Source organism: Homo sapiens, chromosome 1 (assembly GCF_000001405.40).
Source record: "Homo sapiens chromosome 1, GRCh38.p14 Primary Assembly".
Classification (NCBI taxonomy): Eukaryota; Metazoa; Chordata; class Mammalia; order Primates; family Hominidae; genus Homo; species Homo sapiens.
The window spans coordinates 205,335,380-205,357,274 of record NC_000001.11 but is presented as its reverse complement, the minus strand read 5'-3'; the positions used below and the strand labels follow the sequence as shown (position 1 = coordinate 205,357,274).

Sequence of the window (21,895 nt, the reverse complement as noted above, 5' to 3'; positions counted from 1 at the left end):
CTCGCACCCACGCTGGACCACACTGATGCCTCCTCTGTGCATAGAAAGGCAAAGGTATGGGGTGGCTGTTTGGGACCTTCATATAAAAAGGTCAACCCACTTCTCTGCCTTTTACCCACAGCCCCACCCCTGAGGAGGGAAAAATCTGCAATTGTTGGATTAGGGCTGAGGTGCACATTTGCCCTTTGCATAACTGGCAGCGTTGCAAAGGACAGCCCCTTTCTCTCTTCCCTCCATTCTCTCCCATCTGGCAGAGGAGTCCGGCTCCCTAAATCTTCTTTTTGTTGGTTAGTTTCCATGGCAGTTATTGTCTGTGTGTGTGAGCGTGTCCGCCCCCTCACCCGCTCTCCTCGCAGAGCGGGCCTTTGCAGCTGAGACTGGGTGGAGGGAGAGGCGCGGAGACACTGGGGCTCTGACGAGCTGGCTGAGGCCCTCTCAGTAGGGGGGTCACGCCTCCTGGAACTCAGGGACCCCAAGTTTCTGTGCATTCAGGGCGGGGCTGGCCCCATGCCCTGTGCATAGGGGCCTGGCTGCATCCCAGTCGATCAGCCAGAGGCAGCAGCAGTGGACTCATCAATTGTGGAGGAAGCCCTGGGGACCCTGGGGACCTTGCCGACTCTATTCCCAGCCAGCTCCTAGGACAAGCCTCAGAGCCAACACCCGCTCGACCCTCTCCCGGCCCCTCCCCTTCTTTGTCTTTTGCAGATGATCGCCGGGTGTCGATCCTTTTCCCTCCAGTCAGGTAAGTTTTATTTCAATCCATCTATGCAGAGTGATGCCTTGGCATTCTGAGGGCCTGCTGGTGGGGAGACAGGCAGTGGTGTCTGTGAGAGGAGGGCTGCCCAGGTAGACAGGCTGGCATGGGGGTCAGGAGGGACAAGGGTCTCCAAGGGCCTTTTCTCCTCAGCTGGGCCTCTCTAGCTTTGAAGTTAAAGGTTCCTTCCCATCTGGTTTTAACCCAGCTAATTAACTCCAAAGATTGCTGTCCAGGGCACAGACTGACCAACATACAGCCAACCTCCAGAACTTCTGGCTTCTGATCCGAATTCAGCTCAACTTTATGGAATATCAAACAGAAAACCAAATATTGCATATTCTCACTTACAAACGTGGGAGGTAAACCCTGGATGCAGATGGACATCAAGATGGGAACAATAGACACTGGGAACTCAAAAAGGAGGGAGGGGGGGAGGGGGACAAGGGCTGAGAAACTTCCTATTAGGTTACTGTGTTCACTATACAGGTGACGGGATCAATAGAAACCCAAACCACAGCAACACGAAATACACCCTTGTGACAAACCTGCGCACATGCCCCTGGGTCTAAAATTAAGATTTTTAAAACTTATGGACTACCTACTATGTACATACACATTGCTGTGCTTGGCTCCGAAGGGAAAGTGCTTTGACAGCAATGGCACATAACATGGTTCCTGCCTTCCGATGCTTACCATCTGGTAAGAAAGAATATCTACATAGACAGGTATGGGGATTCCGGGGCCAGGCAAGCTAGATGTCACATCCCTGTTCTGGCTGTGTGACCTTGGGCAAGTCATTTAACCTCTCTAAGTCTAAGTTTTCACCTTTGTACAATGACAATAATAATAGTACCTACTTTATAGGCTAAATTATACACACACACAACTCACACACACACCAAACTCTGATCAGTTCATGACGCATATTGAGCACCATATACTTGTTAAAGATGATTATTATTGTTATTATTGACTTTTTATGAGGTTCAAATTATACAAAATATGTAAAGAATGTAGTGTGGTGTTTAGAATAATGAGTGGTGGTTATTATCATGCTAACATAGTTATAGATGAAGTTCTATAGAAACGGGAAAAATGACTCTTGCCTGCAGGGATCATGCAAGGCGTGGAGGAGGCGGCATTCAGGCCAAGCCCTGAAGGATGAATAGAATGTCAACAAGCAGGAAGGAGCATGTGAAGCAGAAAGCACAAAGCCAAGTATGGAGGCAGGAAATGAAAGGCCTATTGGGCATCAGGCAATAGAGTGGTTTGGCTGGAGCCCAGGCATTAAGCCTGGCTGAGAGGCTGGACTGGACTTTGGGCTCCCAGCATCTTGAGGACAAGGGCCAAGATTAGGGTGTGACACTGTGAACACTGGAATAACCAGCCTAGCACCAGGATGAGGGGGAGTGATACACTTTATAGAGAGCCAGGCTCAGAGCCTGAGACCAGCGTTTGGGTCCTGGCTGAGCTTCAGATTGAACTGGGTGCTCTGAGGCTAATTGCTTCACCTCTCTGAGTTTGTTTTGTCACCTATGAAATCAGCAGGTAAAATACCAAGTGCAATTCTTCAGGAGAAAGGAGAATTTGTGCGTCATCTTCATGACCCTGGGAAATATCCAAAGGAATCAATCATTTAACAAAGAGACTTACGTAAATTATCAAGTGCAATGCCTGACTCATTATAGTAGTTGAATGAATGATCTCTCCCATCATGATTAATTGCCTTATTCATCCATTCATTCATTCATTCCCTCATTCATTCAGTAAATATTCCTTGGGTCCCCATTGAATGCCAGGCATTAGTTTTGGTGATGGGAAAGAGTGATGAATGCACCTGCCTTGAGACACTTATAAGCAACTGAGGAAACTGGCAACCCGAGGACTTCTGGGTGCTCCCACCCTACCCCCAGCAGCTTCCATCCCACTGGCCATCTTCCAATTTCTCTCAAGGATTACTGCTTACAGATATTTATTTTTAGCAGATTTTAGGCTCCCAAGACATCTCCCATATAGGTCTTGAGAACATCTCCTGTCTGCCCTCTGCTGGTGAGGGATTGTAAGCGCTTTGCAATAAACAGCTCAATATTCATTACACATCAATACCAAGCATTGCTGCTGTCCATCACCCCTGAGATGAACTGAAGTGCCTTAATATTTAAAGAGGAATGAATTTGTAATTAGTACCTAAAGTTACATCAGAGTCATTCAAGAGGTTTTCTATTTAAATGCAAATTTAATCTTTCCAAAGAAAGCTAAAAGGTGATGAAAATAGATAGCAAAGGTTGAGGAAAGAGGCAAGAAAAGGGAGATGGCGCTGATGTGGAGCTGTCACTATTGTTGGCTTGTCTGTGGCCCATGCTCAGGACCAGGCTCTGAGGTGGAGCGAGCTGAGGTGGGGCCTGGATCCCTAAAGCCTAAGTCCCAATTGCCCTGCCTGTTCATGGGGGTAGCCCAAACCAGCAGCCATTTGAGTGGGTCCTCGCTGGGCTGCTGGTGGTCATCTTAGAATCATGGTGGCCTGAAGAGGATATGGGCTGTGGGGTTAGGCAGATCTGAGTTTGAATCCAGCATCCTGTTCTGCCTAACTCTAATAGCTTTGGTGAGTTTCCTAATCTCTCCCATTCCTTCCTTATGTAAATAGACCTCTTAGTGCTTGTTTCTCTCAAGGTTGTTGTAGAGATTATGTGATAAACAGAGTAAATGTCCCTGGTATACAACAAGGGCCCTCAAAATGTTTGTTTCCTTTTATTGCCACTAGATATTGCCGTGTCAACTTAACATTGCCACGGTGGTGTGAAGCACGTTGTCAAGAATAAGGTGGCAAGCTGGGAGTGGTGCGTGTCTATAGTCCCAGCTACTCAGGAGACTGAGGCGGGAGGATTGATTGGGCCCGGGAGGCTGCAGTGAGCCACGATGGTGCCACTGCACTCCAGCCTGGGTGACAGAGTGAGACCTTGTATCACACAAACAAGAAAACAAAAAATAAAAAGAATAAGGTGGCATTCCCCTTGTTCCCTTAAAACAGCCTAAGGTGCAGGGGAGGGCACAAGCATTTTCTGTAAAGGGCCAGATAGTAAACATTTTATGCTTTGCGGGCCATGCGCTCTCTGTTGCAACTACTCCATTCTGCTGTTGTAGTGGGAAAGCCGCCATAGACAACACGTAAATGAGTGAGTGTGGCTGTGTTCCAATATAACTTTATTTATAGATGCTGAAATGTGAATTTCATATCACTTTCATGTATCCCAAAATATTTTTCTTTTGATTTTTTTTCCCCAATCATTTAAAAATGTAAAAATTGTTCTTAGATTTCAGGCCATACAGAAACAGGCAGCAGGCCAGGGTTGGCCCTCAGGCATAGCTTGCTGACCCCTGCACTGAGGTACAACCTGTGATTTAGGGAGGATTTTTATCAAGGAATCTCTCAGAACATAATTCCCAAGACTGGGACCAAAGCAGGGAGATGGCATCCAAGGAAGAAAATAGTCCTTTCTGGGCCAGGACTAGAGAGGAACAAAGGACACACTGGATCCCTAGTGGTGGTTCCTCGTGGGGGGCAGCTGTTAGGTCTGGGTGTGAATAAAATTGTCCCTCTGTTTCTTGCCTAGTGATGTGCAGGGATGGACTGGCAGCTCCTGGGTGCTAAGCAGGCAGCCACATTCTCCTGGCGACAGGCTACAGGAGGATGCTCAAGGGCCAAGGCCCTGCCACTCCCTCCTTCACTGGGAGAGAAATGCAGGCTTCCTGGGGCTCCTTAGAGATCCTCAGGTACACACCCACCTGCCCCAGGAGTGCCGAGTGATGAGGACAGGCAGATCCTTTGATTCACCCAAAGCTTGGCCTGGTTCTCACCTTTCCAGACTCTCATGGCTTCTTAGACACACATATACACAACACACTCGCAGCCAGCTCATCACGCGTCCCCGCCCTCTCCCGTCTCCAGCACAGAGAGCACAGGTCAGCACGCCAGATGGCAACCTTGCTGCTGCAGCAGATTGCCGTCTCCCTAGGGAGCGGGGGTGAAAGCAAAGCACTGGATGATGCCTGGGCTCCAGTCCCCACCCCCTCCTCTCCAGTGTGCCTCTGTCTGGTCCTTTCTCTGGGAACAAGGGGTGTGTGTATGTGTGTGTGTGTGTGTAATGTAAAGTGCCAGAGGAGAAGGGGAGAGGTGAGGAGAGAGCAAAAGCCACTCCCTACCTCTGTACAGGTCCTGCCCCAGTGACCTGGCACCTCCTTCCATCTGGAGAGTGAGCGGGACCTCCCTCTCTGGCACCCAGGGAGGCTGGTGGGCTCTTAGAAGTGAGTAGAGGCATGGGATGGACAACAAGGCTGCCTCAAGGCCTGCTGGGAGAAGCAAAGAGGCCTGGGACCTTTCAGGGTGACTGCTGTCACTTCCCGGCTCTCTGGAGGGCCCGGGCTGAGTGTCATGCCAGCCTAAACAGCCTAAACTGTGAACCTCATCATCCTCTTCCCAGCCCCATAAAGGGCCCACAGCCTTGGATCCCCCTGGATGTCAGAGTCAGACAAAATTTGGAGTTAGGAGGGAGGCAAGGAAGGAGAGGCAGGCCATGAGAAAACCTCCTTTTTTTTTTTTTGAGACGGAGTTTCGCCCTTGTTGCCCAGGCTGGAGTGCAATGGCACCATCTCAGCTCACCGCAACCTCCACCTCCCAGGTTCAAGTGATTCTCCTGCCTCAGCCTCCCAAGTAGCTGGGATTACAGGCATGCGCCACCATCCCTGGCTAATTTTTGTATTTTTAGTAGAGACGGGGTTTCTCCATGTTGATCAGGCTGGTCTCAAACTCCCGACCTCAGGTGATCCGCCCGCCTCAGCCTCCCAAAGTGATAGGATTACAGGCATGAGCCACTACGCCCAGCCAAGAAAGCCTCCTCTTTTTTTTTTTTTTTTTTTTGACTATTACAGAAGTTTATTTAACAAAAAGTCTAATATGAAAATGTACATGACCTAATTTTTACATCATAGTAAAACAGGACCTATGGAGAGAGAGCATGGGTTTCTCTGCTGACCAGCCATTATTTATACTCATTCCAAGGCTTCTAACATGATGATACTATTTCCTCATATTACCACCATTCCAATATTGTTCTGTTGTCCACTAGTCGCCATTTCCACACATTCATCTATCACAAGGTTCATAAAGGGATCAAATCCCCGCAATATTCCTTGGACATGTCTGCCACCATTTAATTTCAATGATAACTTCTTGTCCATAAATTTTTTCAGCTCGGGAGGGTGAGCTTTGCTCATGGTGTATACTCCGCGGGCTCACAGATCGAAAGCCTGCTCTTAAAGTGAGCAGTGATGATCAAATAAAAGCCCAATATATGCTATGTACCAGGTGAGGAATCTCTATGTGGAAACAAGAGGAATCTTCGGGGAGTGGACCCTTCTCTCCTGGGTGGGGATGAGACAACAAATGAGCTTTTGTCTTCCAAATAAGGCAGTTTTCCTAGGAAGAGGGACTCCGGTGAGGGTGAGCAGGCCAGCCTTTTGTTTAGCCTTCTGTTTCTAGCAGGCCCTCTACCTCTAGGCCTGCAGAGCCCCATGGGGCTGGACTGTGGGTCTGTGGCCCTGCTCATTTAGAGCCTGCCAGAAGGAGAGCCAGCTCCCAGTGCCTCAGCACACACACACACATGCACACACACATGCGTGCGCGCACACACATGCATGCACACACACACATGCACACACAGGCACGCACGCCATCATGATAGGCAGGCTGGCCCATCTGCCAATCAATCTTCCTTGCTGATTTCCCAGCTGGAAGCAGCAGGGCTGGTGTGTAAATCATTCAGAGCCGTCTCTCAGCTCTGCCAGGACGTGGAGCTCTTTTTAATTAAGAAGAATGGAGGATGCTGCTGACTTTGGAAGGGGCAATATTAACTTACTAATGGGCATTTAAAGAGCCGTGTCTGAGTGGTCTGCTGCAGCCTTCCCCAGCCTATAGCCTTTTCTCCTCTGCAGAGCTGCCCTCATAAAGGCTCTGCTGTCCTCTACTTGAGAAGGGGTGAAGATTAGGCCCCCTAAGGGCCCCAGCCTGGTGACCTGGGACAAATGGGCACGTTTTCACTTTTAGAGAAAGAGCCATGTCGGGATGACCTGAGCTCTTGCATCCTCTGCCACCCTTGCATACTCTCCTGGCAGCAGGCACCCCAGAAAGGTCAGAACCCAACAGGAAGCAGGTGGGTGCCCAAGGTCTATAGGGAGCCAGCCCATTCGCCACAGCTGCAGCTGTCACAAGGCACCCCCTTGTCCTGGGCTGATTGGAGAGAAAGGAGGGTGGTGGTAGCAAGAGAGGGTAGCCAGGGGAAGCCCTGATAAAGTCTTCACTGGTGACTGGACCTGGGGTAGCTGGCAGCGCTTGTGAGAGCTGGTGGGGCCAGACCTCTGCGATCGTATCACCTGGCAGAATGTGAGGGTGTTCGTTCTAGAATCTGCTGCTTTGTCACTATGGCTAAATGCTTCTTTCTCTAGGGCTCCCCGCCTGTATAGCACCCCAAGAGTACAGAATACTCCAGCTGGGAGGGACCCCAGCTGCTCTCTTCTTCACCTTCCTTCCTTCTAATTTGACAGGCACCAGAATGGATATGACTTGCCCATAGTTGCACAGCCCGGTTACAACAAAACGTAGGCTGGAGGTCATAGCCTTCATCGTAACAAGACGTAGCAGAGGTCTTCTGACTGTCCTGTGTTTTTCTAGTATGGCCCGGGCGGCAATACAGGAGGCAGCTCCGTGGCCTCTCACCTCACCTCATGCTGGTGTTTCAGGTTTCTGACATTGCTGGTCAGGAAATTCTTCCTTGTTTATAACTCAAATCCTCAGGCTTTATTGTAAGCCCCATTTCCTCTTACGATTTCCTCAGTAAGCACAGGGAAGTAGCTGAGGTCTTTGAGAAGCATACCTTCCCGCACGCACTAAACAGCAGAGGAGCGTGTGGCTTCCCAACCCTTCCTTCTCTACATTGTGCAACTCCTGAGTCTGAAAACGAAGATGACTCCCTCCCTTTACCCATCATCCCATATCTGGGGTCCACTTTCCAATGTCCCAGTTTTACCTAAGTAGGCAGGAAGTTGCTTACAGATGAACAGATGCATTCGTTAATGGATACCCACTAAGGCCCTCTAGGTTCCAGGCACCAGCTATGCACTGGAGTGGGAGGGAGCAGGGAGGATAGCTGAAGGAATGTGGCTGATTCAACTGTCCAATCAAGGCTGCGTGGTCAGGAAGGGAACCTGAATAACTGAGGCCATTCTGCGGGACTCCAGCCCTCCACCTGCAAGGCAGCAGTGCCACATGATCACATACAGATCCTGGTTCTGACTGCTGGCAACTGTGTCATACCATCTCCCATCAAGTCCACGTGAGCTCTAAATCCTTCCTCTGGGCTGATGTTGGGACTGGTGGGGAGGAGGCCCTAATGAGGCTTCTCTATGCTGGGGGAGGAACTACCCTTTCCTTGGTCTGCTGGCAGCCTCAGTCCTAATTGGATGAGTCAGCCTCACTCCCCACTCCCTGAATAAGGACCATGCTTCTGGTTAGGAATGAGAAGGTGATTAGCTAAAGGAAGGGCACAGCTGTTCTCCAGATTAGAATGCAATTTAGGTTGCAGCAGATGAGATTTCAGCTAGCTAGGAGAAAAGATATCCTGTCTAAGACACAGGCCCAGAAGTGATTGGCTACAGGAGGGTATGGGCCCTGGTAAGGCTGCCTATCTTGTGAAACTGGCACCTGCTCTTGGGGGGCACACTAGCCTGAAAGTCAGAGGTACAGAAACTTGCCATCACAAGGGGAAGAAAGAAACTAGTCTTTATGAGGTACTTACCACGTGCCCAGGAACTATGCCTGGCATCTCCTTCCTCCTACAACTCTAGAAAGTAGATTTGCTTATTCCCTTTTTCACAGATGAGGACACTCAGATTCAAGGACATAAGTGACTGGTGCATAATCACACAGCTAGGAGGTGGCTGCACCAGGATTCAGATGCAGCCTGTCTGATGCTGACCACATGGTCTGTGGGGTGCTGCAGAAAGAAAACTGCATAAAGAAGGTGATCCTGGCCTCGGGGAGTTCCTGGTGTGTGCCTCCAGCCAGCGTGGTACCCTGCAGAGGGCACTCCGGTAAAGAGTATTTCTGGGGAGGGATAAGGAGCAGCTAATCACTAAACAACTCCTCTTCCCTCCTATCCCCCTGAAATGTTCCCTACACTTGGAATTCCAGCAGACGTTGAAACCCTTCCCACAGTTACTCCATCCATGGCCTGCCACACTGAGAATCTGCTTGGTTTATTGGGAAGAAACTGTTCCCCACAACACCCCCAACTTCCCCCTAAGGTACCGCAGTTTAGTGAAGGCAGGATCCTGCTGAATGCCTACCAGACAATAGAGACTGAGTAAAACTGTGCATTTCATTGTATGTAAATTAGACCTTAACAAATCCAAGACTTACTGAGCCTGTCAAGGTGGTGCATGCCTGTAATCCCTGCTACTCAGGAGGCTGAGGCAAGAAGATGACTTGACCTCAGGAGTTCAAATCCAGCTTGGGCAATATAGCAAGACCCCATCTTTTTAAAAAGAAACAAAACCCAAAACGTACTGAGTGACTTTTTTCTGGGGCTGAGCATCCTCAAGTTTGATTGATGCACCAATATCTATAATAAAGACTCCACAGCACCAAAGATGTAATCTTTAGAGGCTTTTATGACTTTTCCCTCCCTTAATTCCCCAACCTCCCACTCCTACCTTGTAATGAAGGGGAAAAATGAAACACTTTTTTTTTAGAGAGACAGGGTCTTGCTGTGTCACCTGGGCTGGAGTGCAGTGGCACGATCTTGTTTCACTGAAGCCTCTACCCCCTGGGCTCAAGTGATCCTCCCACCTCAGCCTCCCTAGTAGCTAGGATTATGTGCCACGAAGCTCAGATAATTTTTGTTTATTTTTTGCAGAGACAGGGTCTCACTATGTTTTTGAGGCTAGTCTCGAACTCCTGGACTCATGTAATCACCTGCCTCGGCCTCCCAAAGTGCTGGGATGACAGGCACAAGCCACCACATCCAGCGTAAAAACTCAAATGCTTTTTAAGGCAAAAGAGAAACACCGGCTTAATGTTACGCAAGATTTTAGAGCAAGAAGGATTTAGATTTGACATGAGGAAGAACTTTCTGACCAGGAAAATGGTTACACACTAGAATAGGGTAGGGAGGGACCAAGGAGTCACTGGACACTCTCCCTCCGATTAGCACTCCTTAAGGCCCCATCTTGGTGCACTCAACCCAGGCAATGGAAACTACAGATGACTCAGGGAATCTTAAGTGGCAGTTGCTAGGTTACAAGCTTCCTCGATGTGCACTCAGTGTAAGCGCTAAAGGATGTTACCTGGCGGAGAGGAAGAGAGATGGGGGAGATGGAGAGAAGCCAGGACTTCCAGAACAAGCAATTAGGTCATGGTCTGGAAGACATCCTGTTGTTAGTACTTTTCCAAGGGTCTGAGTCCCTAGATCTCACGGTCTGCATAGAAGATGGTGCCTGTAGGATATGAGCCTTAGTTTAGAATGGGGGCCTATTCTGGGGCTGGATTCCAGCACTTCCTTACCTGCACTGCCTGGCACAAACAGTATGGGCAGCCGCTGGAATCTCCTTGGTGGCCTGGGCTCCTTTCTTCACTGCAGTGGAATAAAGACCAGAAGCCAGGTGGAGAGTGGACCCACTTGGTTTCCTTCATAAGGCACAATTCTTTAATTTGTGATTTAATTGTGATAAAGTAAAGGAGCACTGGATTTGGAATTCATACCTTGGACCCACTCTGAACGGCCTGCATGGTCCTAAGTAAGTCACTTCATCTCATTAAGGCTCAGATTCCTCAACTGCAAAAAGTGGATATTGATACCTACCCCTGAACCCCTCCCAGGGCTGTTTTAAGATTACAAGAAAATGGACGTGCAAGGGCTTAGATGATCTCAACAAGTGACACAAATAAAACATACAGAGTGGAGCTCTGTCTATCTGCTTATTAAGCTGCCCCAGCTGGGGTGGTGAAGGCTCATTTAAGAGGCCTGGCCTCACTGCTTTGGTAGAAGGCTCAGTGGGTAAGAGAAGCTAAGGATGGACTCCAACAAGCGCTTTTAAGGAAGGTCTATGGCTTTAAATCTTCCCGATCACCTGTTCTGATTTTGTGAAGACAGTTCAAGCTGAGGTAAAGGTGCGTTCCCTATTTCTCCAGGCAGATAGAGACTCCTAGGAAGAAAGGGAAATGTTTGGTGTTTCCGTGAAATTTCATGAATTCACACCCCATGCTTTTGGAATTTATGAGTTCTGATTGAATAGGGAAAACAGACACAGACTTCCTCTGTGAAGGTTCTAGAGGTGCTTACTTTGTAAGTACAGAGAATTCGAACTAAAAAACAGTGGAATTTTTAAGCCAAGAACTCAAAGTAGTAAGATGGGCCCGTTGGATGGAGTGCAATGGTGCAATCTCAGCTTGCTGAAACCTCCGCTTCCCGCGTTCAAGTGATTCTCCTGCCTCTGCCTTCTGAGTAGTTGGGATTACAGGCATGCATCACGGCACCCAGCTAATTTTGCATTTTTAGTAGTGATGAGATTTCACCATGTTGGCCAGGCTGGTCTCGAATTCCTGACCTCAGGTGATCCACGTACCTCGGCCATCCAAAGTGCTGGGATTACAGGCATGAGCCACCAAATCCGGCCTCGATTTTATACTTTTGGGGGTGGAAGGTTTGTTCTGTTTTGTTTTGTTTTTGAGACAGAGTCTTGCTCTGTCACCCAGGCTGGAGTGCAGTGGCGCAATCTCAGCTCACTGCAATCTCCGCCTCCCAGGCTCAGGTGAACCTCCTGCCTCAGCCTCCCGAGTATTTGGGACTACAGGTGCATGCCACCATGCCTGGCTAATTTTTTTTGCATTCTTAGTAGAGATGGGGCTTCACCATGTTGGCCAGGCTGGTCTGGAACTCCTGACCTCAAGTGATCTGCCTGCTTGGGACTCCCAAAGTGCCTGGATTACAAGTATGAGCCACCGCACCCGGCCAGAATTATATTGTATCTTTACCGATCAATTTCAAAACCCTGGTTGTGATATATACTGTGCTATAGTTTTGTAAGATGTTGCCATTGGGAGAAACTGGGTAAAGGGTATTTTTTCTTACAGCTGCATGTGAATCTAAAATTTTCTCAAAATTAAAACTCTAGTTTAAAAATATATAGACATAGATCTATCTATCTGTATAAGAAACTGAGGTTCAGAGTAGTTAAGTAATTTTCAGAGGCAAGATTCAAACCCAGGTCTTCCAGCCTCCCAAGCCTGCGTGTTTCAAGACTTGGCTACATTTGAAAGAACCAGGTAGGAGGAAGATCCCATCGGCCTTGCAGTCCACCAGACCAGGTGGTTGGTTCTCTGGCCTCATGGGCACCTTTGTTACTGGGGACTACTGTCCTATAAACGGTATTAGAGAGTGGCTTGCAAGGATTGTTTGTCAAGCCCTGCGAGTTGGTGCCGAGGACGGAGATTTGATCATCAGGTTTCCCCTTCCTGAAGCTCGTGAAGGGTGATGGTGGCGGTGGTGGGTTGTGCATGTGTGTGGCAGATGGAAAAACTTCCCGTGTGTGTTTGTCTATGTTGGTGTCTCTGGCTGTGTCCACATGTCTGTCTGTGCATCACTGGTCAGTGTCTCTGTGGATGTGTCTATTTCGAGGGCGGCGGCAGGGTGATGTGTAAGTTATGCTTCCATGTGCAAGTGGGTGTATATGTTATATTTGAAAGTACCTGTGCCAGGTCTGCGTGCATCACACCCACATAAGTTGTTTTCATGAGGTTAAACTATATGATAATACCTCCCCCCAGCAAAGCTGGCTATTGAGTTAGCAGGTCACGAGCTGAGTCTGTGTACTGTAGATAAACTGGGTAATTGGACTCTCCGCCTCTTCATCCAAAACAAACACAAAAGCCCGCCCCCACACCGGAGGGCGTCTGTGCCCGTCATCTGGGTGCTTGGTTCTAGTGCCCTGCTTTCCTTGACCCCCTGTAGACAAGGTGAGCGCTTCCGCGGCGGGGCTTCTGTACAGAGGTCACAGCACGCTGTGTCCCGGGACGCACGCGGATTCCTGCACAGGTGTGGTGGCTGCGGATGGGGACGGAGCGGAGCAGGCTCGCCGGCCTCCTCCCCGGCGGCGGCTCCGCTTCTCCTTCCTGCTGTTCACTTCATCTCCTCATCTGCATGTGTGACAGCGGCGCGCGGACTGGGGAAGGACAGAGCGCCCTCTCCCCGGCTCCCGTGCAGCGGGGCGGGGGCTCCGGGCTCCCCAGTGATGCGTCGTCTGCGCCTCGCCGCCGCGCTCCCCGGGCCTGGCAGCGTAAGTGATGCGGGGGCGGGGGCGCCGAGACTGCGGGGAGGGGGCGCGGGGAAAGAGAGGCGTCGACGCCGAGAGACGCTAACTCCTTCCTCCGCCCGGGGACTGCCCGGCACCCCGAACCCCTGAAAGCCCCGGCCTGCGGCTTGCTTCGGCAGTGTCCGAGCAGCGGGTGGGGAGGGGGCGGGGACCAAGCAGTGCAGGGTGTGGTGCTGCCCCCGGGGGGCGCCCTCCGCCGCCGCGTCTTCCCAGTGAAGTTGACCAGGGGCTGCGGAGCCCATCCGCTGCCCGCCGGAGGGCGCGTGGCCCCAGCTGCCCTTGATTCACCGCGTTCCCCCCGCAGGGCCAGGCGTGGACGCCGCCGGACCGCTGAGACTCGGGGCACGGTGAAGCACTGGCCGGGGTCTGGCTGGGTCCGGCGCTCGGGAGCCAGATGGAGGTGGCGATAGGGGCCGTGGGAGCCGGCGCCAAGTAGCCGGTGGACCCCCGCGCTCGCACCTCTCCCGGCGCCCGGGCGCTCCCCAAGGCTGCCATGGAGGTGCCTAACGTCAAGGACTTCCAGTGGAAGCGCCTGGCGCCACTGCCCAGCCGCCGGGTCTACTGCTCCCTGCTGGAGACCGGGGGCCAGGTCTATGCCATCGGGGGATGTGACGACAACGGCGTCCCCATGGACTGCTTCGAGGTCTACTCCCCGGAGGCCGACCAGTGGACCGCCTTGCCCCGGCTGCCCACAGCCCGGGCGGGGGTGGCCGTCACCGCCCTGGGGAAGCGGATCATGGTGATTGGGGGCGTGGGCACCAATCAGCTGCCCCTGAAGGTCGTGGAGATGTACAACATCGATGAGGGCAAGTGGAAGAAGAGGAGCATGCTGCGTGAGGCCGCCATGGGCATTTCTGTCACGGCCAAAGGCAAGTGGGGCCAGGGCTGAGGGCGGCCAGAGAGAAGGAAGTGGGGGGCCAGGAGGGAAACAGATGGAAACCAACAGGCATTTGCTGTGGGCTGTGGAGTTTAGTGCCATATTTCTGCAGACCCCATGCGTTCAGCAAAATGCCTGCACCTCCCGCCGCCACACCCCAGCCCCTGAAACCTGCCTTGCCTTGCAGGTGCCACCACCCCCAGACACCTATTTGGGGTCCTGACAATGCTCACTCCATCCTTGTAGCGTCACCAGGCCCCACTGAGAGGGCTTTGGGACCTGATTCCAGGGGCCTCTTCCACCTTCAACCTGCCCCTCTGCCTCCCAATCTCAGAGACGCTCAGTGGAGACCAGAATGTTCCTGAGGGTTCATGTCTGGCCGCGTTTCACTAAGTCCTCAGGGCATGCATGTCCTCACTACATGGTTTTGTGATTCTCATTTTCCTTTCTCAAAGCCCCCATTTCATTCTTTTCACGCCTAGTACAGCCCAGAACCTAGAGCTCCGAAAGCTCTTTTGCTAAAACACAAAGGGTTTTGTGGGAGATGGTTCAATGGGAATTAGGAGACACCAAGTTCAGACACACCTGAGCAGCACAGGCTTGCAGTGGGATGCAACCTTCCCTCCGTCTCCTCTTCCTCCCTCCCTCTTTTGCTAAACCATACTAGCTGCATGTCAAGTCTACTATAGATTGGGAACCAGTATTTCTTGAGCACCTGCTCTGTCCCCAGCACAGTGCCAGGCTCCAGGAGGGAAGGAAAGAGGCGGAAGATCTGTTCCCTGCCTTCAGGAGCCTGGATCTGACCAATGAAAGTAACTAGAGAGAAACTCTAGTGCAGAATCCCCCAGGGCAGCATGGCCAGTGGGGCTTCTGTGACCTCCCAGTAAGAAGGATGGAAGGCCTGGAGGCCCACGGAGAGCAAGGGAGGGAAAGAGCACATCTTCATCCCAGGCCTCAGTAAATGGTCTTGAAAGATTAAGAACTAACATTCATTGAATCCTTACCATTTGTGCTTTGTATACAGGTAAGTGCTAGTATTACTCTGATTTTAGAGAGAAGCAGTGTAAGGCCCAAAGAGTTAGTTAAAACACTGGCCCAAGGTGACACAGATAGTGATGATTGAGTCTGTGCTCTTACTATGGCACTGAATGGGTTCTGCAGTTAGTTTAATAAGCATTTACATGCCTGTGTGCCAGGCATTGTGCCAGATGCTGGGGCTGTAGATTTAACAAATTCTCAACGGCCTACAGTCTATTGAAAGAAACAAAGATTGGCCGGGCGCGGTGGCTCACGCCTGTAATCCCAGCATTTTGGGAGGCTGAGGCGGGCGGATCATGAGGTCAGGAGATCAAGACCATCCCAGCTAACATGGTGAAACCCGTCTCTACTAAAAATATAAAAAATTAGCCTGGCACAGTGGCGGGCGCCTGTAGTCCCAGCTACTCGGGAGGCTGAGGCAGGAGAATGGCGTGAACCTGGGAGGCAGAGCTTGCAGTGAGCCGAGATCGCGCCACTGCACTCCAGCCTGGGTGACAGAGCAAGACTCCGTATCAAAAAAAAAAAGAAAAAGAAACAAAGATTATTCAGTAACAGGTGGCAATTAGGGTGATGGAATAGGGTAACAGAAGGCACTGAGCCGGTGCTGTCGACCCAGGCTTGTAGTTCAGGGACGCCCAGATGGGTCTGAAAGGATGAGTAAGAATTGGGCACAAAAACAGTAGTGAGGAGTGGATGGGAGGATTCCCAGGAGGAGGAGTTTCAAGTAACACAGGATGGGAGGGGTGGATCTTGTGCAAGGTGAATTCCTCATTAGCAGGCACCGTCTTCCAGCCTCAGGCTAGGGTTGGCATTTTTTTTTTTTCCAATAAGATTGGAAAGTAGGAGGAAATAGTACTCATCCCTACAATCACCTTAAGAATAAAGGCCTCCTGGAGCCAGAAGCATTGAGGACTGGCTGCTGGCAGACAGAATCCCGGGCAGGGGTGGCTCCCTGAGAAAGAGAGGCCTGGGAGGTCCTGGGGTGGGACCCAGGGAAACACAGATGCCTTGCCCATCCTCTCTGGTGTAGTGAAGTCCTTTGAAAGGCCACCTACAGTCAAGAGTAGTAGAGAATGAGAGGAGACTCACTTCTCAAAGTATCCCAGCTCACTTCCTGGGCAGGGTTTCTTAAAGGGACCAGTACTCTCTCCAAAGCTTCACCCTCATTCACCCCTAGCCCTATCTCATTTAGTTGAAGTGACTCCTGGATCCCACAAGTTTCCCAATTTGTGAAGGAAGATGGCATTCCCCAATGGGGCTGGCAGACACAGAACCAGCAGCAGTCCAGTGTCCCATAGGCCAGTGACAGCATGACTCATCTTATTTCTAAAGGCCCCTGCCATATCTAAAAATGCCAGTTTGTGAATGCCTGGGGAAAGGGCATCAGAAGAATATCTCTACTCATTGAAGCCAGGCGTGGTGGCTCATGCCTGTATTCTCAACACTTTGGGAGGCCAAGGCAGGTGGATCACCTGAGGTCAGGAGTTTGAGACCAGCCTGGCCAACACGGTGAAACCCCGTCTCTACTAAAAATACCAGGTGTGGTGGCAGGCATCTGTAATCCCAGCTACTCTGGAGGCTGAGGCAGGAGAATCGCTTGAACCCGAGAGGCAGAGGTTGCAGTGAGCTGAGATCACACCATTGCACTCCAGCCTGGGCAACAAAACAAGACTCTGTCTCAAAAAAAAAAGAATACCTCTCCTCTTTGGCTTCCCCTCTGGCTGCCCAGGGAGGACAGTGAAGGGGATAAGACCTGCAAAGGGTTTTCCAGGCCTAAACTTCACGCAGTGTTTCAGGCTTAGCCAAAGGGCTGGACACTAAGGAAGACTAGGGCGTGTAGTCGTACCATGGCTTCAAAAGACCCAGGCAGCTGGGCACAGTCGCTCACACCTGCAATCCCAGCACTTTGGAAGGTCGAGGCAAGAGGATTGCTTGAGCCCCGGAGTTCGAGACCAGCCTGGGCAACATGACAAAACCCTGTCTCTACAAAAAATACAAAAATTAGTCAGGTGTGGTGGCATGGACCTGTAGTCCCAGCTACTTGGGAGGCTGAGATGGGAAGATCTCTTGAGCCCAGGAGGTCAAGGTTGCAGTGAACCATGATTATGCCACACTCCAGCCTGGATGACAGAATGAGACCATATCTAAAAAAATAATAATAATAAAAATAAAAAAAAAGAAACAGACTCTCAGGCTTAGCTATAGCAGGAACTTCTTTGAATGGTGCTATCAACCACACTGATACAGATATGACTCACTCTGGCTGAGCAGTGGTTGAAAGCTTGGCCTGGCCATGGGAGGCAATAGATGCTGGTGGGCCTGTCTTGCTGTACCTGTGAGCTAAGCCAGGGGCATGTATGGCCTTTCTTCTTAGATTACCGAGTATATGCGGCAGGCGGGATGGGCCTGGACCTACGTCCACACAACCACCTCCAACACTATGACATGCTGAAGGACATGTGGGTGTCCCTAGCACCCATGCCCACCCCGAGATATGCTGCCACCTCCTTCCTCCGAGGCTCCAAGATCTACGTGCTGGGTAAGGACAGGTTACTGTTCTATACCTACCCTCCTTCCTTCCCTTGGCTCAGTTCCCATAGGAAGCAGTGCCTGTGTGCTGAGCATCTCCTCGGCACTGGGGATAATCACACTGCCCAGCCCACCGGGAGCTTCCTGTATGAATGAGTAACTGTCAAAAGGGGAAACCCTTTTCACTGTCGCTGTCCTCAGGGACAACCCTTCTGCCCAACCTCTATCCTGCTCTGGCCCCCAGGGGGACGACAGTCCAAGTACGCGGTCAACGCTTTCGAGGTCTTTGACATCGAGACTCGCTCCTGGACCAAGTTTCCCAACATTCCCTATAAGCGGGCCTTCTCCAGCTTTGTGACCCTGGACAACCACTTGTACAGCCTAGGAGGCCTGCGGCAAGGTCGCCTCTACCGGCAGCCCAAGTTCCTGCGGACGATGGACGTGTTCGACATGGAACAGGGTGAGCTGGTCACCTTCCCCAGGAAGCTCTGGCTGCCCACTGCCCTTCTGGCTGGCTCCCCATCCCTTACCCCTATTCCAGCCATCTTCCAGGGCCGTTTACCCAGCTGGGCAAGCTTCTCAGAAGTCTCAGCACCCCTCTCCACTCAGGGCTACTCTTGGAATCAAATTCCTTCATTGGTATAGGTCCCCTTTTTGCTTGGTTGGTTTTTATCAAAGCCCCTTTTCTACCTATATTGTCTTTTCTTACAATATTCACACAGGACCAGGTCAGAGAGGGATTTTTCTTACTTTTTACTGATGGAGAAACAGAAGGATCCTGACTCCTCCCTCACTGCCTCTATTAGCCTCCTAACCAGAAGTCAAGGTGATTCATTGTAGGGGATGATGATGCCTTACAGAGCAGCAAGCATGGGAGAGGGGGAAGCCACAGAGAATTTGAAACAGCAGGAGGAACTGTGTACTCCCCAAGCATAAAGGATAAATAGAGTGAAGACACTGCCCAGGGTGAAAGCTATTTGGGCCACAATCTGCATTTGGTGGGAGTGGTCTGTATCTTATTCTGTCTATATAACCCACCATTATCCATGGCCTATAGGGGGATGGCTGAAGATGGAACGATCGTTCTTCCTCAAGAAGCGGCGGGCAGATTTTGTGGCTGGCTCTCTGAGTGGACGGGTCATAGTGGCTGGGGGACTTGGTAAGGATGGCGCTTTCACGCTGGAATTTATTGTGGTTCTGGTGCTCAGTGGATCCTTGGCACTTTGCATATGCAGGAAAGGGTACTGACTCCCTGCAGACCACCTGCCTACCACTATACTCCAAAAAATTCGAAGCACTCCCTTTCTTCCAGCCTAGATATTACCTATCCACTGTGGGCCCCAGGTGTGGCCTTTCTGTCCTCCTACACAGGGAAACTGTGACGCAGAGAGAATAAGGGACACCCGTAGCCGTGCAGCACAGGCTTACTGAGCACAGATCCCTAAACGGGAATGACTGGAGACAAACTGTGGAGGGGATTAGCCTTGGTCCTCCTCTGACCAGTCTCTTATCCTGTTCCAGCCCAATCGTGGAACAGGAAAGCAATCTGATTAAATAAGTTCAACAGATGAATCTTGGGTTTGATGTATTAACTCTGCCAGAGATTACTAGTATTTTGAAGGAGGGACTCTAAAGCGAGAAGTTCCCCATCATCAAGGAAGAGAGATCCAGGCAGCAGGGCTTCCAGGTACCCCAAGTCTACTTAGTGTGGACAAACTCCCACTTTACTCAGGCATGAAGGAACCGTGTCAACTAGACCATGTCAGTAGCTTTTTTAGGAAAGGGCAGCAGTGAGGCAGTAGTGTGCTAGAAAGCTCTGGTAAAAAGCAATGGGTAGGGAAAGAAAGCTTACTCTTAAAGAGACAGGAAGACGGTAGGAGGGACAAAGTGGCTGCTTGACAAAAGCCACTGGCTTAGTAAAGGGAGTAATCCTGTAGCCAAGGAAGTTGACCTTGCTTGGCTTCTGCTTGTGGGTGCCGAAGGGAGGGAGGTGGGGTGACCGTGGGGCATGGATTGGTGGTTGGACTCCTTTGTAAGGTCTGATTCCCTTGACACTTTCAGGGAATCAACCCACTGTCCTGGAGACGGCGGAAGCATTCCACCCAGGGAAGAACAAATGGGAGATCCTCCCTGCCATGCCCACACCCCGCTGTGCCTGCTCCAGCATAGTCGTCAAGAACTGCCTCCTCGCCGTGGGAGGTGTCAACCAGGGTCTGAGTGACGCAGTGGAGGCCCTGTGTGTCTCTGACTCCTAGCTGTCTCTGGGCTCAGTACCTTTGCCCTGGACCATATCACTTCACTCTTAACATGAGGAATGATCTTGTCCAAGCAGTCGGGGCTACTTCCAAGAATGTCAGCTCCTGTTAGCAACCAGTGGAGTCTGGCCTTGGGGCTCTAAGTTGACCTCTCTATAGCTCCAAATCCTACCAATCTCAGAAAACTGTAAGAGGCACAGATGACTCCACCAGCTGCAGAGCTGACTCTGAAGAGAGTCTTCACTTACTGCACAGGCAAAGAAAGGCACAGGAATATTTCCTACCTCTCCCTCCTGTGAGTCCCACCTCCCCCCACCCCCATCTCCAGGAGGCAGGTAGAGCAGTTCTGACCGAGAGGATAGACTGCTGTTGCTGTCTTTCCCCAGCTCTGAACTAGTTTTAAGGTAGCTTAGGATGAAAAATGGAGAATGATTGGGGGTTCCAAACCACTTTCTTCTCCCTTGGCTTATATCTCTTCACCATTTGGTGGTCAACTGTGGGCCTACCCTGGACCTCATCTACTCAGCGAGAATTGGACATGAAGCTAGAGGCAGCTGCCTTGGAAGGGAAGTCAGGCTCACTTGGACAGCCCAGGCCATGGCAGGAAGAATCCCTTCCTCTTGGGGTCCTTGATGGGCATGTGTGATGGGGAAGGAGCAGTCTCCCAGCCCTGGGTCTGCTCCCCACATCTCTCCTAATTCCACTTCACCTTTTGCCACCCCCTCCCCACCAGAGGCCTAGCCCTTTTGTCACCGAAGGCCCCCAGAGTGTTTCTGTGTGAAACCCTCTCATTTACACTGTGGCATCAAAATCCACAAAAGATGGATTAATTGCACTCTGGTTAATAGCAGCAGCACAATGATTAAAATCTATATTCCTATCTTCTCTAGCACCCTGGTGTGGGGATGGGGCGGAAGGGTGTCTTGAGGGGCAGGGAGGACCCCATAAAACAATCCCTCCTGCATTCTCAGGCTAAATAGGGCCCCCAGTGACTACCTGTTCTTGGCTGTCCCCTCTGAAGAGCTCTGCCTTCTCACAGCCACCACCAGTTGCCCCACTCCCAGGAAAACAGCACATGTTCTTCTTCTCCTGCCTTGAGACTGCGTGTTAGTCTTCCATTCATAACTCATCAGCAGCTCAGTCCTTCTTATGTCTAGTCTCAGTTCATTCAGCCAAAGCTCATTTTTGTCCTATCCAAAGTAGAAAGGGTTCTTTTAGAAAACTTGAAGAATGTGCCTCCTCTTAGCATCTGTTTCTGACTCCCAGTTATTTTTAAAATAAATGATGAATAAAATGCCTGCCCTGAAGGGTTCTGGAGGAGTCAGGTATCACTCATCAGGTGATAGTGTAATTCTTTCTCCAGGAGGCAGGAATGGAGGAGGATCACCTATCTGGATCTGAGGGGTCCAGGGAGCCTCCTGGAGGGAGGGAGTGTGACACCTTCAGCGGGATCTTCAAGGACAAGTGGAACCTGGGTCTTTACAGGATACGGATTTTTTTCCCCTCCCTTTCTCTGGGTACTTGGACTTTTTCCTTACTTGGGTCCAAGAAGGGCACTGCCACCTGCTGGCCCAGCATTTCCCTTCCCCCTCCCAGGGCTGGGAGGCCTCCCGTAGCCGCTGCTGCCCCCTAGTGAGGAGACTGCAGAGAGGCCTCCCCTGCTGCTTCTGGATCCCTATATTTGAGTTCAGCCCCTGAAGTAACAGATAGAAACAGGAGCTGGAGGAGCTGCAGATACTATAAGGGATGATGGAACTGTGCATTAGGGGATGCTCTTCCAAAGGCATCCTGTCTCCTCAATCCCCTACCCAAGAAAGGTGTTTAGCAACTGGAGTGCCTCCACCCCTTGCAAGAGAAACCCAAGCCTTATGGGAGGGGGCATTTCCAAGCACACAAAGTGGTCCCATATGCATGGATAGGGCTGAGCTTTTTTTTTTTTGAGACAGGGTCTTGCTCTGTTGCCCAGGCTGGAGTGCAGTGGTGCGATCAGGGTTCACTGCACTCTCCGCCTGGGCTCAA

General features: G+C 51.0%; 1 protein-coding gene and 1 pseudogene across 5 annotated transcripts, besides 3 other annotated features; one reads left to right on the top strand and one right to left on the bottom strand.

The window, feature by feature from the left end:
* The first annotated feature begins 235 nt into the window (after positions 1–235).
* Positions 236–21,214, top strand: KLHDC8A (kelch domain containing 8A). 5 transcript variants are annotated; one of them, NM_001271863.2, is made up of 9 exons: positions 236–287; positions 706–742; positions 8,685–8,899; positions 12,817–13,141; positions 13,482–14,046; positions 17,467–17,631; positions 17,866–18,081; positions 18,679–18,780; positions 19,683–21,214. In NM_001271863.2, exons 5-9 carry the CDS (start codon positions 13,671–13,673, stop codon positions 19,874–19,876), a joined length of 1,053 nt encoding a protein of 350 aa, NP_001258792.1. In that variant the 5' UTR covers positions 236–287; positions 706–742; positions 8,685–8,899; positions 12,817–13,141; positions 13,482–13,670; the 3' UTR covers positions 19,877–21,214. The 5 variants fall into 5 exon arrangements, with proteins under 5 accessions (NP_001258792.1, XP_024303889.1, NP_001258794.1 ...); XM_024448121.2 differs by lacking the exon at positions 8,685–8,899; NM_001271865.2 differs by lacking the exon at positions 12,817–13,141.
* Positions 5,668–6,054, bottom strand: SNRPGP10 (small nuclear ribonucleoprotein polypeptide G pseudogene 10; annotated as a pseudogene).
* Positions 5,856–6,763: an enhancer, noted in NCBI's record as "H3K27ac-H3K4me1 hESC enhancer chr1:205319640-205320547 (GRCh37/hg19 assembly coordinates)". NCBI's record gives its function as "activates a minimal SCP1, AML or CMV promoter by ChIP-STARR-seq in naive H9 embryonic stem cells {active_cell/tissue: H9 hESC(naive)}" and the evidence as "EXISTENCE:reporter gene assay evidence [ECO:0000049][PMID:30033119]".
* Positions 13,438–13,998: an enhancer, noted in NCBI's record as "H3K27ac-H3K4me1 hESC enhancer chr1:205312405-205312965 (GRCh37/hg19 assembly coordinates)". NCBI's record gives its function as "activates a minimal SCP1, AML or CMV promoter by ChIP-STARR-seq in naive H9 embryonic stem cells {active_cell/tissue: H9 hESC(naive)}" and the evidence as "EXISTENCE:reporter gene assay evidence [ECO:0000049][PMID:30033119]".
* Positions 17,296–17,345: a silencer, noted in NCBI's record as "silent region_1737". NCBI's record gives its function as "represses an Ori minimal core promoter by ATAC-STARR-seq in GM12878 lymphoblastoid cells {active_cell/tissue: GM12878}" and the evidence as "EXISTENCE:reporter gene assay evidence [ECO:0000049][PMID:35858748]".
* Positions 21,215–21,895: the final 681 nt, after the last annotated feature.

What these genes read in the sequence shown, in the direction of transcription:
- KLHDC8A (NM_001271864.2), top strand. Translation starts at nt 13,671, where the DNA reads ATGGAGGTGCCTAACGTCAAGGACTTCCAGTGGAAGCGCCTGGCGCCA. An exon ending in CGTGTTCGACATGGAACAGG is followed by an intron (nt 18,082 to 18,678) that starts GTGAGCTGGTCA and finishes CATGGCCTATAG; the next exon opens with GGGGATGGCTGAAGATGGAA. An exon ending in CATAGTGGCTGGGGGACTTG is followed by an intron (nt 18,781 to 19,682) that starts GTAAGGATGGCG and finishes TGACACTTTCAG; the next exon opens with GGAATCAACCCACTGTCCTG.